Here is a 16,562-nt window from a genome sequence, read left to right as displayed (position 1 = left end):
TGTCACTGCCTATAAATTTTTTAAAAATAATAAATATCCAGTTTCAAAGTTTGTGATGTGGATGGCAGAGGCATTAAAGAAAATCTAAATGACGACACTGGAATTTTCTTTTTATTTTCAGAATTTACAGTGGAAGGCATGGGTGGGGGGAGCGGTTATGAATCAAGCAGTTGAGCAATAATCCCAAAGTGGGATTTTGATGAAGTTATCTTAAGAGCTCACCATTACTGGCTTTTGGTTATATCATAATGCATTTTCATAAATGCTACATCTAAAACTCTTATTGGCAGAGAAGACGATAGTGTCAACTCACGTGACAGACCTGGACAGAAAAGTAATTAACAATTAGATTTTGAATAGTAATGCATTTTAGTAATACTTTAATTAATTTGAATTATATTTCTATTTTATATGTGTACAATGATGATGGCTGATTAATAAAATCGGTGTAGTTTTTTTAGAAAAAGCTTTAAGTAATAAGAAATTATATCACTTTAATTGGCAGATTTTATTCTTTCTCTCTTAGAGATCTTTCTTAGTATCTTATTTACTTATGTTTTCTATAGAGACAGGTTTCTTGCTATATTGCCTAGGCTGGTCTTGAACACCTGGCCTCAAGTGATGCTCCCATCTTGGCCTCCTAAAGCACTGGGACTACAGGTGTGAGACACAGTAGCTAGTAGTATCTTATTTTTTTTTAATAAGAAAAAGTAATAATACATAGCCAAAGGAAAAGATTAATTAATCCATGCAAAATCTAACCTATAGAAAGAGGTCCCTAAAATATATTATTATTAACTGTCCATGGAAATCTATGAATATAGACCATAGCCTGTAATAAAATAATAATCTGATAATTTAAATTAGTTTAAATTGTCCGCTGCATTGTCTAATGTTTATTAATTTGGATTTTTTAGCCATTAATGACCCAAATTACAGATGCCCTCCCCTGAGGGAACGTTTAGAAAAGTTTGAAAGGATGGCTATTTTAATTCAGTCTAAAGGAAGAAAATGGTGCAGCCTTAAGGAGTACAAATATACACTTAAAAGAAATAAGACCTGGTGTCCCATAGATCAGTAGTGACTATAGCGAACATTAACCAATTGTGCATTTCAAAATAGCTAGAAAAGAATAATTTGAATGTTCCTAGTGGAAAGGAAAGATAAATGTTTAAGGTGATGGACATCACGACTACCCCAATTTGGTTATATGAATTATGAAATTATGACACGTACCCTGAAAATATACACATCTAATATGTATCAATAAAAATACATTAATTTAAAAAATGGAAAATGCCATCTTGATCATCTGAAAGAAGCATCAACATGGAGTAGAGTAAGTTTATTTATTCTGCCTGCTGCAAAGAGTTCTGTTTTTTTAACAGACCTCCTGGTCTAGGCATGAGTGGTAATAACCACCAGCTGTACCACTCTTCCCTTGAGATCCTATTAGTTCTTTTGTGCTTTGACCTTCCCTGTTCTGGCAGTTTTATTGGCCAGTTCTTCTAGGAAACTTGGTGCGTTTGTGAAGCAAAAGAAGCACTAAAATATCCTCAAGTCCCACAGCTATTTTGTTCAAAACTTAGTGCTTTGTTACCACAGTACTACCCATTAGCCATTATCCATCATGGGTTTGTGAAAACAACTCACATGCCATTTGCAGCTTCAAAGTGCAGACTGATCTCTGCTGAAACAGGGACAGGGGAGGGAAGGCAGGGAAGGCTTGTCACATCCTGCTTGGACACCTATTGAAATTTTATTTTCAAGTGACCGGGACAGACTCATGAATACCACTCTTCGGTTTACTACATTTTTCTTCCCTTTAGATAATAGTGGCTATTATTTTAAGACTAATCAATTTTATTCTATTTACGGACTTAGATAATAAATCAGGTCAGCTTTCAGATTGAGGAAATATGGATACTACTAAATATTCATTGAGAGTGAATGCAGCAGTATGTCTTTGTTAATGTGGTCTTGTGGGTTTAGTTTTGTGACTTATTTAGCTAAATTCAATTGAACTTAATTGATTTAGCAAAGCCAGGCATAAAATGTAGAGAAATGGAGTGCCTTTGAGAGAACAAAGCAGTTATGAATTCATAAGTAGAGACAGATATAAGAATTATAAATGAGACCTAGGATGCAGAGCATAAAACCTAAGGAGATAAACACGGAAGAGTTTATGACACTTTTGCCTCAATCAATTTATTCTTATTTCTCTAATAGTATTTAACTCGTGCATCTCAGCAGCAGAGTAACTTTGACTCCCTTCCCCCACGCTCTGATCTTAATTGCACGGTTTTGCTCCTAAACGCAGAGCTAATGTTTCATGATGCTTTTCTGAAAGCACAGGCTGTCTTTAGTACCATTCAAACATTTGTTCTATTCCCAGGAACAGAATTCTTTATTTATTCATTCAGAAACATATTTTGAGTGTCTACTATGTATTAGGTACAGATTGGATCTGATTAAATACAGAGAAAGGGAGAAAAAGGAAACAATCCTAGTATCCAGAATCCCAGTTTGAATAACTGATTCTGTGATATGAGATGAGAAAGAAAGGGTGGGAAACATTTCAGGAAGGGGTGGCAGAGAGAATGATTTCTGTTTTGAATATCATAAATTTGAATTACTTATAGGACACATAAAGTAAAATAACATGTAGGCAGTTGGATACATGGGTGAGAAGCTCGAAAAAATTATTTGACCTGAGCATAAACCTCAAAAACGTGAAGATTTGAATAAGCACGTCTTACTTTGACAACAGGTGAATACAAAAGAACTGTTACTGTTGGCAGGAATCTGAGTTACCCCAAGTGACCTGCGGTGTGTCCGTGAGGGTCTGCAGCAACTTTAGCCCTTGCTTCCTCGGAAGAAAGAATTCCCCTGAGGGGCATAAAGCAGAAAAAGAGACTGAGGCAAGTTTCAGAGCAAGAATGGAAGTTTATTAAAAAGACTTTAGAACAGGAAAGAAAGGAAAGTTTGCTTGGAAGAGATCCGAGTGGGCACCAACGTCCAAGAGATAAAAAAGGGAGCCGGGCGTGGTGTGGCTCATGCCTGTAATCCCAGCACTTTGGGAGGCCGAGGCGGGCAGATCACGAGGTCAGGAGATCGAGACCATCCTGGCTAACACGGTTGAAACCCCGTCTCTACTAAAAATACAACAACAACAAAAAATTAGCTGGGCGTGGTAGCGGGCACCTGTAGTCCCAGGTACTCGGGAGGCTGAGGCGGGAGAATGGCGTGAACCCGGGAGGCGGAGCTTGCAGTGAGTCAAGATTGGTTACTGCATTCCAGCCTGAGCGAAAGAGCGAGACTCCGTCTCAAAAAAAAAAAAAAAGAGCAAGAGATTAAAAAAGAAGAGAGAGAAGGTCAAGTGCCCTGTTTAACCACGATCTTAGGAGAGGTTTTCCTCTTTTCCATGATTCTTCCCTTAGCTTAGGGTGGGCTGCCCGCATGCACAGAGCCCTCCTTACCCTTGGGAAGTAAGCACCCACAGTGTGTTTAGGGAGTTACACGAGTGCCATTCTAAGGCTGTCTTCCTTTTTCTGGTGGAGTGTACCCGGAAGATCATACATCACCATTTTTGTCTCTTAATGTGAGTGCCAGGGAAGTTGGTACTCCAGGGAGGCGTGTGTGTGTGTGTGTGTTCGGGGGGGGTGGGGGGGGTGGGGGGTGGTGTCTACCTTTAATTAACACTTTAATGTTAACAAGTATGGACCATCAGGAAATGGCCTCTCCTTGGTGCTGGCTGCCAATGCATTACTTTTAGAGAGGCAATGCAATAATTGCTGAACCATCACCCGACGTTTCCAGTGGGTGGGGAGAGCCCTCCCGTGCCACGCTCATGTCTATCTACCTGTAACACAGGACCTACTGTGGTTTCGGTGGTGGTGGTGGTGGTGGTGGTGAAAATAATTATTTAGTGGTACTTATTTTTAGTCAGGTTTGCTGAAGCATGATTTACATACAATATGAGTCACCTAGTTTAGGCATACTGTTCTATTCAATTTGAAAAAAACATGCATATAGTTGTGTCATCACCAATGCAGACAATATATAGGGGATTTCCATCACTTCAAAAAGTTTATATGTGTCTCTGTGTAATGAATCATTTTCCCCAACCCTAGCCCCTGGATCACATCCAAACTTTCACCTTTTCCTAGAATTTTATATTTCACACAATGTTTCATACATTAATGCGAATCATACATCAGGTAACATTTTGAGAGATTTTTATTCACACAGTATAATATCACAGATTCATTCATCTTGTGTTTATCAATGATTTGTTCCTTTTTATTGGTGAGTAGGCTTCCATTGTATATTCCTGTATAACATTTTGCTTACTCATTAAAAATTTGATGAACCTAGGAAGCTGTTTCCAGTGTTGGGTGATCATAAATATTACTGCTATGAATATTCAAATACAGGTTATTGTGTGGATATATGTTTTTGGTTCTTTCTTTTGGGTAAGTGCTTAGGAATGTGATTACTGGGTTTTATAGTGAATATATATATATATATATATACACACATGTTTTTACATTATAAGAAACTGCCAAACTGTTTTTTCAAGCTGGCTGTGCCATTTTGCATTCCTACCAGTAATGTATGAGCATTCCAGTTACCCTCAACATCCGTGCCATCATGTGGTATTGCCAGGTTTTTTTCCCCAATTAATTCTAAGAGTTGTGAAGGGATTTCCTATAGTGATTTTAATTTACATATCACTAATTGCATTGTGCATTTTATTGTGTACTTATTGCCATTAGGATAGTTTCTTTATTGGAATATCTGCTCAAAATGTTTCTCCATGTTTAAACATTGGATTGTTATTGTTGAATTTTAAAAATGCATTACATATTCTGTATACGAAGTGTGTAACTTGTATTTTTTAACTATTTTTCGAAGAGCAGAAAATTTTAATTTTGACGAACTCAAATTAATCAATTTTTTTCTCTGATTCATGAATTTGTATTAATTCTAAGAAATCATGGTCTAAACTAAGTCACAAAGGTTTCATTATTGCTATTTTTGTATTTTTATTATATCCTATGTTTTATTCTAAGAGTTTATAGTTTTAGCTTGTATATTTAGGTCATTCATTTTGAGTTAAGTTTTTATATGGTGCAAGCTATGGGTTGAGATGTTTTCCGTTTTGGGTATTGTATTAGTTCATTTTCACACTGCTGATAAAGACATACTCAAAACTGGGTAATTTATAGAGAAAAAAAGGTTTAATGGACTCACAGTTTCACTTGGCAGGAGAGGTCTCACAATAATGGCAGAAGGTGAAAGGCACGTTTTACATGGTGGCAGGAAGAATGAGAGCCAAGCAAAAGGAGAAATCCCTTATCAAACCATCAGATCTCATGAGACTTAGTCACTACCAGGAGAACAGTAAGGGGGAAGCTGCCACCATGATTCAATCATCTCTCACCAGGTCCCTCCCACAACATGTGGGGATTATGAAAACTATAATTCAAGATGAGATTTAGGTGGGGACACAGCCAAACCATATCATTCCATTGCTGGTCCCTCTCTCCCAAATCTCACATCCTCACATTTCAAAACCAATCATGCCTTCTCAACAATCCCCCAAAGTTTTAACGCATTTCAGCATTAACTCAAAAGTCCGCAGTGCAAAGTCTCATCTGAGACCAGGCAAGTCCCTTCTGCCTATGAGCCTGTAAAATCAAAAGCAAGTTTGTTACTTCCTAGATACAATGGGGGTACAGGCATTGAGTAAATACGGTTGTTTCAAATGTGAGAAACTGACCAAAATGAAGGGGCTACAGGCCCCATGCAAGTCAGAAATCCAGCAGAGCAGTCAAATCTTAAAGCTCCAAAATGATCACCTTTGATTCCATGCCTCATATCCAGGTCACACTGATGCAAGAACTGGGGTCCCGTGGCCTTGGGTAGCTCCGCCCCTGTGGCTATGCAGGCGACAGCCCCCTCCTGGATGCTTTCACAGGCTGGCATTGGGTGTCTGCGGCTTTTCCAGGTGCATGGTGCAAGCTGTCAGTGGATCTGCCATTCTGGTGTCTGGAGAAAAGTGGCTCTCTTCTCACAGCTCCACTGGGTCGTGCCCCAGTAGGGACTCTGTGTGGGGGCTCCAATCCCGCATTTCCCTTCTGCATTGCCCTAGCAGAGGTACTCCATGAGGGCCTTGACCCTGCAGCAAACTTCACCCTGGATATCCAGCCATTTCCATTCAGAGATTTCATCCTCTGAAATCTAGGCAGAGTTTCCCAAACCTCAATTCTTGACTTCTACTCATTCAGAGGCTCAACACCACATGGAAGCTGTCAAGGCTTAAGGCTTGCACCCTCTGCAGCCACAGCCTGAGCTGTACCTTTACCCCTGTTAGCCAAGGTTGCAGCAGGTGGGATGCAGGGCAAAAATGCCTAGGCTGCATATAGCAGGAGGGCCCGGGGCCCAGCCCACACAACCATATTTTCTACTAGGCCTCTGGCCTGTGATGGGAGGGGCTGCTGTAAAGGTCTCTGCCATGCCCTGGAGACATTTTCCCCATTGTCTTGGTGATTAACATTTGGCTCCTTGTTGCTCATGCAAATTTCTGTAGCTGGCTTGAATTTCCCCCCAGAAAATGGGGTTTTCTTTTTTATCACATTTTTAGGCTGCAAGTTTTCCAAACTTTTATGCTCTGCTTCCTCTCAAATGCTTTGACACTTAGAAATTTCTTCCACCAGATACACTAAATCATCACGCTCAGTTTCAAAGTTCCACAGATCTCTAGGGCAGGGGCAAAATGCTGCCAGTCTCTTTGCATAGCAAGAGTGACCTTTACTCTAGTTCCCAATAAGTTTCTCATCTCCATCTGAGACCACCTCAGCCTGGACCTTATTGTCCATATCACAATCAGCATTTTGGTAAAAGCCATTCAACAAGTCTCTGGGAAGTTCCTAACTTTTCCAGATCTTTTTGTCTTCTGAGCCCTCCAAGTCTCTAGGAAGTTCCAAAGTTTCCCACATTTTCCAGTCTTCTTCTGAGCCCTTAAAACTGTTCCAGCCTCTTCCTGTTACCCAGTTCCAAAGTCACTTCCACATTTTCAGGTATCTTTACAAGCAGCACCCCATTATCTGGTACCAATTTATTGTATTAGTTTGTTTTCATGCTGCTGAGAAAGACATATCTGACACTGGGATCTTCATAAAGTAAAAGAGGTTTAATGAACTCACAGTTCCATGTGGCTGGGGAGTTCTCATGATCATGGTGGAAGGCAAAAGCCATGTCTTACTTGGTGGCAGTAAGACTGAGGGCCAAGCAAAAGGGGAAACTTCTTATAAAACCATCAGATCTCATGAGACTTATTCACTACCATGAGAACAGTATGAGGAAAACCACCTCCATGATTCAATTATCTCTCACAGGGTTTCTCCCATAACTTGTGGGAATTGTGGGAGCAACAATTCAAGAAGAGATTTGGGTCGGGAAATAGCCAAAGCGTATCAGGTATCTTTTAAAAAATGGGTTTAATTTGCATATATGTGTGTAATTGATCCAGTCATAAGACTATTCCTTCCACATTGAATGGTCTTGGAAACTTTATTGAAAATCAATTGACCACAGATGGGAGAATTTATTTCTAGGTTCTCTATTCTATTCCTTATGTCAGTATCATACTGCCTTAACTGCTGTAGCTTTATAGTAAGTTTTAAAATTGAAATGTAGGACTCTTCCAAATTTGCTCTTTTTTCCCAATATTATTTTGGCTATTCAGGGTTTGCTGGATTTTCAAATTAATTTTAGAATTAGCTCATCCATATCATATCTGCAAAAGAAAAAGAAGTTAGAACTTTGTTAGGGATTGTATTAAATCTCTAGATCAACTTGGGAAATACAGTGCCTTTAACAATATCATTTTCCAAACCATAAATCTGGAACATCTTTTCATTTATTTAGATCTTTAATTTATTTAAATAATGTTTCATAGCTCTCGGTATATAAGTCTTATTTTTTTGGTTAATTTATTCTTAAGGATTTTATTCCCTTTGATGCTATTATAAATGGACTTCTTTTCTTAATTTTATTTTCACATTGTTCAGTGCTCATCATAGGGGAATGCAACTAATTCTGGATGTTGATCTTGAATCTTGCAAATTTGCTGAAATCATTTATTAGCTTTAATATTAATAGTTTTATGTGAGGGGTGTGTATGTGTGTGCGTGTGTGTGTGTGTGTGTGTATTCCTTATGGTCATGTCATCTACAAATACTTTTGCTTCTTCCTTTCTAATCTGGACTTGGCTAGAACAGGTAGTACAATACTGAATAGAAGGGGCAACAGCAGACATCTGTCTTGTTCTTGATCTTAGCTGAAAAGCTTTCCATATTTCACCATTACCTATAATGTTATCTGTGAGGTTTTTTTGCAGATGCCCTGTATCAGATTGAGGAAGTTACCTTCTAATCTTAGTTTGTTGAGTGTATTTGATATGAATACATATTGAATCTTGTCAAATTTTTTTGCATCTATTGAAATATTTTTCCTTTATTCTATTAACATGTATTTAAAATTGATGAATTTTCTATGGTGAAACAAGTATGCATTTCTGTGATAAGTCCCATTTGGTAATAGTGTAAAATTCTTTCTGTGTACTGCTGGTTTAGGTTTGCCAGATGTGCAGGCAATGTTAATATTTTCCATCAAATATGGAAAGTTTGGGTAATTTCTGTAAATAGTTTTTTCTTCTTTCTCTCTCCTTTCCTTCTGGGATTCTCTTTATGTGCATGTTGATATGCTTAATGGTATCCCATCAAACTCTCTGAGGCTCTGTTCATTTTCTTCATTACATTTTCTCTCTCAGACTGAATAATCTTGTTTGTCCTATCTTCAGTTTGCTGATTCTTTCTTCCGCCTGCTCAAATCTACCATTGAACCCCTTATTGAATTTTTAATTTCAGTTATTGTACTTCAAAGGTTTAACCTTTATATTTAGTTCACTTAAACTATTTCTATATCTTTATTGTTATTCCCTATTTGGTGAGATATGATTCACATACATTTATTCCTTTAGAGATGACTTTCTTTAGCTTTTTGGACATATTTAAAATAGCTGTTTTAAAGTATTTTTCTGGAAATTCCTATATCTGGGCTTCCTCAAATATAGTTTTTATTGATGGCTTTTACTCATCTGTATATGGGACATATTTTCTTGTTATTTTGCACACTTCTTTTCTCTTGAAAACTGAAAATTTAAAATATTATATTGTGGCCGCTCTGGGAATGAGACACATGCTTGTTGCTTCACTATTGTTGTTGGTCCATATAGCTGTTTTTGCTTATTTGTTTATTGACTCTTCTGAACTAATTCTGTAAAGTCTGTATTCTTTGTTGTTCTGGTCACTGAAGTCTCTGTTCCATTAGCTTAGTGATCAGCTAATGTTTGGACAGGATTTCCTTAAACACTTGGAATCAAAAACTCTTCTAGTCTTTGCTGAGGAGTTCTCTCTGTGTGTTGGGAATATCTCGTTAGTCCTTTAGTTGTCTCAATTGTTATCCGTTATTTCTGGAAGCAGTGACTAAAACATTACTCTGTAAATGTGTTTGACAAATACCCTTGGAAGCAGCTTTAGCACTGACCTGGTTCTAAGCAAGGCGAAATATTGTTAAGAATTTGAGTTGGCCTTCCAAGGGGTGACTAAACTGGTCAAAAAAATGTTTACAAACATTTGCAAATGAGATCTGTCTGCTCCCTCTAGTATTGGAAATGTGAGCTCTTATTTTCACAGCTACTGCCGAACTAGGGAACAGAGGACAAAAGTAGGTTAAGTTAAAACACTGCACAGCTCACCGTGTTTACTGACATTCAGCTGTTTTCCTTGAATAAGCACTCCCTAGCTTACGGCAAGCCTTTGGTTAGTATCCAGATTTCAAAAAAAGAAAAAAAGATGATTCCAATCATTTGGCCAGTGTTTCCGTTACTTATATAAAGGAGTAAAGTTGTAAATTTCTTATTCCTCCATTTTATCTGATGTCAACCATTCTACTCCAAAGTGAATTCTTTTATATGCAGCAAACTCTGATTTTAGTTGGGATGGTAAACCATTTTAATTAATTAATTAATTATTTGGGATATACTATTTTATTCAATCTGGCAAACTCTGATTTTAATTGGGATGGTAAAACATTTTTATTTATTTATTATTTTTTTGAGACAGGGTCTCACTCTGTTGCCCAAGCCAGAGTACGGTGGCACAATCATAACTCACCACAGCCTCAAACTTCTCAAACAATCCTCTCACCTCAGCCTCCCAAGAAGCTAAGACAACAGGTCCATGTTACAATGCCCAGCTACTTTTTAAATTTTTCTTTTAGGGTCAGGGGCTTACTATGTTGCCCAAGCTGGTCTCAAACTTCTGGCCACAAGTGATCTACCTGCCTCAGCCTCCCAAATTTCTGGGTTTACAGGCATGAGTGAGCCACTGCACCAGGCCCTATATTTAATGTTATTATTGATGTTACAGTATTTAAGTCTCTTTGTTGCGGTTTGTTTCTATGAGTCCTATCTGTTCTTAATTCTATTTTCTTCTTTTTTTTACTGTTGTCAGATCTTTGTATCCTTACTGAGTTTCTGTCCAAGTGTCTTATTAATTACTCTTTTCTGCTTTTGGCTCCAAATTACATGGTGTTAGACTGTTTACTACTGTCCCACAGTTTAAAAATTTTTTTCCCCAATATTTTTCTCGTGTGTTTTAGTTTGCATAATTTCAGCCTATATATATATACACACACACACACACACACACACACACATATATATATCAAGTCTACTTTTTTTTCTTTTCTTTCTTTCTTTTTTTTTTTTTTTTTTTTGAGACAGAGTCTCGCTTTGTTGCCCAGGCTGGAGTGCAGTGGCACAATCTCGGCTCACTGCAAGCTCCACCTCCCGGGTTCACGCCATTCTCCGGCCTCAGCCTCCCCAGTAGCTGGGACTACAGGCGCCCGCCACCACGCCTGGCTAATTTTTTGTATTTTTAGTAGAGACGGAGTTTCACTGTGTTAGCCAGGATGGTCTCAATCTCCTGACCTTGTGATCTGCCCGCCTCGGCCTCCCAAAGTGCTGGGATTACAGGCGTGGGCCACTGTGCCTGGCCTATCAAGTCTACTTTTGAGATGGTCAAGGAAATTATTTACTGTTGATATTATGAATGTTAATTATACTATTTCCATTCAATTCTTTCTTATAGCTTCCCTCTCTGCCAAAATAGCTGTGCCTTCCTACATGTTGTCAACCTTTTACACTAAGTCTTTTATATATTAATCATAGTTATTTTAAATGCCTCTCTAAAGGTTCCAACATCTTGGTACATTCAGAATCCATTCTGTTGATTGCTCTAATTTTTCCAAATATGTAGCATTTTTTATTCTTTTTTTCTGCATCTCAAAATTTTTAATGAAATATTGGACATTTTGGATATATGAGGTAGAGACTGAAGTAAATAGTATTTATTTGAACGAATATGGAAATAACTCTTCTGTCAGGCCATTTGTGTGTGTGTGTATATATGTGTGTGGGGGGAAGGGTATGTGTGCATATGCACACACATGTACTTGCACACATGGTAGAAGAGATTGGAAACAATTTTATCTCAAGTTGAGTTTTTAAAAATTATTGTTTTTTTTTTTTGCTTTGATTTTAACATGGTTATCTTTAACATTCTACTGGCTTCAAAGTTCTCCAGTGATGCTCTGTGATTAAGATGATGTCTTCAGAGCATATAATTTTAAATTATTCATACTTCCCCCCTCCCATCCCTCTGGTTTAAGGTGTCCTTGTAAGTTTTCTCCTCAGAGGAAGTTTATATCCATTGTCTTGCCCTGTCACATAGTAATACTTTATTTTTTGCTTATTATTACTCAGTGCTTGCTAGGCTGATAGTGGGGAATATAGAGATATCTCAATTGTCTTTGACCGCAGTCTTAGGTAAGTCCTGTGCACCTGGGGTTAAATTTTCTCAGCATTCATCTCTTTTTCTACCCAGGTCATCCAGATGTTGCCTTGTGTCTATGTTAGAGCTTACATGGCACAGAATTCTCTTCCCTTCCTCCAGTGGTTAGTCATTTCTATTAGCAACAGTTTAGAATCTTGACTTCAACAGTTTTTCTTTTCTCTCTCCCAGTGATAGGCCGTTTTTTCTCTACCTTTTTACTCTTTAACTATGCCTGGAGGACAAGGGGATTTGGTGCACCTCTTCTAGTGGATTAAGTCTCTTGCTCTGCATAAAAATATGTCTGAACAGCGGGTGAAGATTTGTGCCATTCTCACAGCTGGGGGATAATTTTCTCGTCTCATATTGCCCCCAAGCTTGCTTATAATCATTGCTGGAAGTTCATGCAGATGAGTCTGATAGTAACAGTGTGTTTCTTTTGTGTCAAAGGTCCCCCACAGGCTCTGGTAAAACGGATTCTCTCGAGGGCAGGATTTGGTAAGAAGAATAGAATGCTCTAGTGTATTTCAAAATGGTTACTTTTCTCCTCTTCTTCCTGGAAGCACAAGGGAATTTCTCTCCAGCACTGTCTCTGAGACTGTGGTGGAGCTCCTAGAGGTAAACTCACAGAAGCATGGGGTCCTCCTACGACTGCATCCCTATGGAGTTTTTATTTGTCCAAATGGAGCTTCCAGCAATTCCTTAATTACAGTTCTGGTTTCAGCACTGGTTCTCGTGGAGGTTTCTGATTTTGGATTTCTGTTCAGGAAAATTGTCATTTCCTGTGACCTCACTTCTGTGATGTATTTAAAAATTGTGAGTGTGATCTAGTTTGTACAGCTTTTCCCTCATTGTTAGGACTAAATGAAAGCTTCTAGTCTCCTTTGCTAGATCAGATACCAGAACTCTTATTTCTTTCTAATGACAAAGTACGATGGCTTGAGAGACCATTCAGTTTTTCTACTGGTAGCTTAGTATTTGTGAAATTCCTTCACCTCCAGGTACTTCTGGAATCCTCAGGTAATGTTCACATATATAAAAAAATCTGCTATCTCAGTCCTACTTTTTATTCTCTTGCTTTATGATCCAGACAGCTGTTTTCAGCTCTATCTATTGGACGGTGCTACAATCAACACTCTTTGGGCTGCTCTTCTCCTTCCAAGTACTATCTTTGTAAACATAGCACATAAATTTTTCTTAATGTCTTAAGTGATAAAAGAAATTAGACTTTTTTTTCTGTTTTATGTGGATGTATGTGTCAAAATTAGACTTTAAATAATAATGTATTAAAATTTAGTGTATTAGTCAGTTCTCACACTGCTATGAAGTACTGTCCAAGACTAGGTAATTTATTTAAAAAAGAGGTTTAATAAAATTGACTTACAGTTCCACATGGCTGAGGAAGCCTCAGAAAACTTACAATCACGGCAGAAGGTGAAGGGGAAGCAAGGCATGTCTTACATGGCAGCAACAGGAGTGCGGGCGAAAGTGCCACACTTCTAAACCATCAAATCTTGTGAGAATTCCCTCACTGTCATGAGAACAGCAAGGGGGAAGCCTGATTCTATTATCCAATCCCCTCCCACCAGGTCTCTCCCTCGACAGGTGGGGATTAAATTTGGGGATGAGATTTGGATGGGGACAAAAAGCTAAACCATATCATTGAGGCATAAAAGAAATGAATCATAGAATTGTAAATAAATAGTAAGTTTCAAAAAATGTAGCCATTTTCATAACTCAAAGTCCAAAAAAATCAGTCCCATCTTCTGTGAGTCTTGGTCAACATGCCTCCCAGATCCTGTACTATGTCCCAGAGCCATCTCACCTCTTTCCAGTGGAAGGATCTACGTGCACTTTGCTATTATTCAAATTTCAGGTTATCTTTAGAGATTTTGTATTTGTCAGGGTTCTTCAGAGACACGGAAACATCAGGATGTAGATAGATAAATAGATAGAGAAATTTATTTTAGGAATTTAGCTCACATGATTGTGGAGGCTGGCAAGTTCAAAATTTGCAAATTAGGCCTGCAGGCTACAGACCCAAGAGAGAGTTGCAGTTTAAGTCTGAAGGCAATTTGCTGACAGAATTCCCTGTTATTCTGCAGAGTTCAGTCTTTTTCTGTTAAGGCTTTCAACTAATTGAATATGGCCGACCTACATTATGAAGGAGAATGTACTTTACTTAAAAAGTCTACTGCTTTAAATATTAATTTTATTTCAAAAATACCTTCACAGAAATATTGAGAATAATGCTTAACCAAATATCTGGGTACTATGTACTTGTCACGTTAACTCATAAAATTAACCATCATAGGTTCCAATGAAGAATGTTTTCCATTCATTCATGTCAACTACATTCTACATCATTATTTCCTGATCATGCTACAAGACAGCAAATCTGCCACCTACCAATTGTTAGAAAGCCCAAGATCTTTCCAACCCTCATCAACTTTGTTTAGTTTGTTTTCTTCCTGACATGGTCTGTTATTTGTTTTCCTTCCTGCCTGTGTGGTTTCTTCTTACCTTCAGGCTTCAGCTTATATCTGTCTGCCAGGCTTGTTTTTCCTGACCACGTTCCTCTATTGGATCATCTGGTTTGTTATTTCAGTTTTTATTTGTATTATTGATACAGTTTGGCTCTGTGTTCCCAACCAAATCTCGCCTTGAATTGTAGTTCCCATAATTCCCAGTGTGGTGGGAAGGACCAAGTAGACATAATTGAATCATGGAGGCGGTTTCCCTCATCTTGTTCTTGTGATAGTGAGTTAGTTCTCACGAAATCTGATGGTTTTATAAAGGGCTTCACCCTTCACTGGGCCCTCATCCTTCTCCCTTCTCCCACAATGTAAGATGTCCCTTGCTCTTCTGCCATGATTGTGAGGCCTCTCCAGCTGCGTGGAACTGTGAGTCAATTAAACCTCTTTCCTTTATGAATTACCTAGTCTGGGGCATGCCTTTATTTGCAGTGCAAGAACAGACTAAATACAATTATTTTTCTCTATTTTGTTTATTATCTTTCTCCTTTAACTATATTTAAGCTCCTTCAGGGTAGGTCCCCTGTTTGCTTTGCTCAAAATGCTGTTTAGCTATGCTTCTTACCATGCCTGGCCAAAATAATTGATTAAGAAAAAAATGTATATTTTTAAATAGTGACTAAATTCATTAACACCAAACTTTCTATACTCCCTTAAGATGTGTTTGCTTGCTTTCAAAAGCATAACAACCTTTCCTGAATAGACCTTTGGGAGGCTCCATAGCATAGGGAAGTTTCATATTATGACTCCGCAAGAGACAGTCCATTCTCTTGTAATGGTGAGGTGGATTGCAGGGGATGATACGAAGAGTATAAGGTAAGTGTGTGTCAAAATTAGACTTTAAATAAGAATTTATTACTTATCTCACGACCTGTCCCTAAGCTCAGCATGGTTTATTTACAATTTCCAGCTTTTCTTTGGCATTTTGTCGTAATTCCTAGAAGAGCCTAAAGATTCTGTGTAGTTAAATGCAATTTAGAAATTTTAGAACAGTCTTCCCTTTTTTTACAGGAGGTTTTCTGCCTTTTTAGAGGGGAGACAGAATAGCTCAAAGACAGCAGCAACCGGTCTTGGTTCAAATTATGGCAGTAAACTTACAAGCTGTACAGCATTGAATGGAGCATTTAACCTCTCCACACTCTCACCTATAAAATGAAAGCAAAACTAATGTTATTTACTTCATTTTGATATCTTATGGATTGAATGACAGATAACGTATGCTATACACAGTATCTGAAACATTCTAAAATAATTTCTGATGTTGTAATCCTTGGAGAGGATTTTGATTCAAATATGACAAAATTCTAAGAAGGGTAATATTTGAATAAAAATCCTTTCCAAGGATTACATTCTAATCTTGCATTAGAAAAATGTCTTTTTTGTTGTTTGCCGAAGAAAGTTAGCCATTCTGTTGGTGTTTACTTATAGAATGTATTGGTCTGTGAATTTTCCATAGGTAGTGTTCTGATTCAATTATTCTTTTCATTTACTTATTTATTTACTAGGTTACAGGTTCTTATCTGTCGCCCAGTTTGGAGTACAGTGGCACAATTTTAGCTTACCACAGCCTCAACCTTCTGGGCTCCAGTGATCCTTCTGCCTCAGCCTCCCAAGTAGCTGGGACAACAGGTCGGTGCCACCATGCCCAGCTAATTTTAAGTTTTTTTTGTGGAGATGGGATCTTACCATGTTGCCCAGGCTTGTCTTAAACACCTGGACTCAAGTTATCCTCCTCTCTCAACCTCTCAAAGTGTTGGGATTACAGGTGTGAGCCACTGTGCCTGGCAATTTTTCTTTACGTTTATGCAGCGATTTCTGAAATATGGAAAATATTCATTAAATATGTCTTGAATAAACAGATGCCAGATTATTGAATATGCTACTTTTTTCAAAGGGTAATCTGGAAAGAGAAAAATCGACATAAATTTTTTCTTTCTATAAATTAGAATTTCCAAATTTTACTATGCATAACAAACACTGAGGGGTTTTTGAAGACTCCCAGCTCCTCCATCTGAAACCAGCTGAACCTGAAGCATTTTAATAATCTAGAGCAAGCAGTCCCAAA

At 38.0% G+C, this 16,562-nt stretch overlaps 1 annotated feature.

The window, feature by feature from the left end:
• Window positions 15,143-16,342: an enhancer, noted in NCBI's record as "CDK7 strongly-dependent group 2 enhancer chr21:22061254-22062453 (GRCh37/hg19 assembly coordinates)". NCBI's record gives its function as "activates an origin of replication core promoter dependent on BRD2, BRD4, P300/CBP, MED14 and CDK7 cofactors, with strong dependence on CDK7, by STARR-seq in HCT116 cells {active_cell/tissue: HCT116}" and the evidence as "EXISTENCE:reporter gene assay evidence [ECO:0000049][PMID:35650434]".

This window comes from Homo sapiens, chromosome 21 (genome assembly GCF_000001405.40).
Source record: "Homo sapiens chromosome 21, GRCh38.p14 Primary Assembly".
NCBI classification, from domain to species: domain Eukaryota; kingdom Metazoa; phylum Chordata; class Mammalia; order Primates; family Hominidae; genus Homo; species Homo sapiens.
The sequence above is the reverse complement of the archived record's forward strand: the minus strand, read 5'-3'. Positions and strand labels throughout refer to the sequence as shown.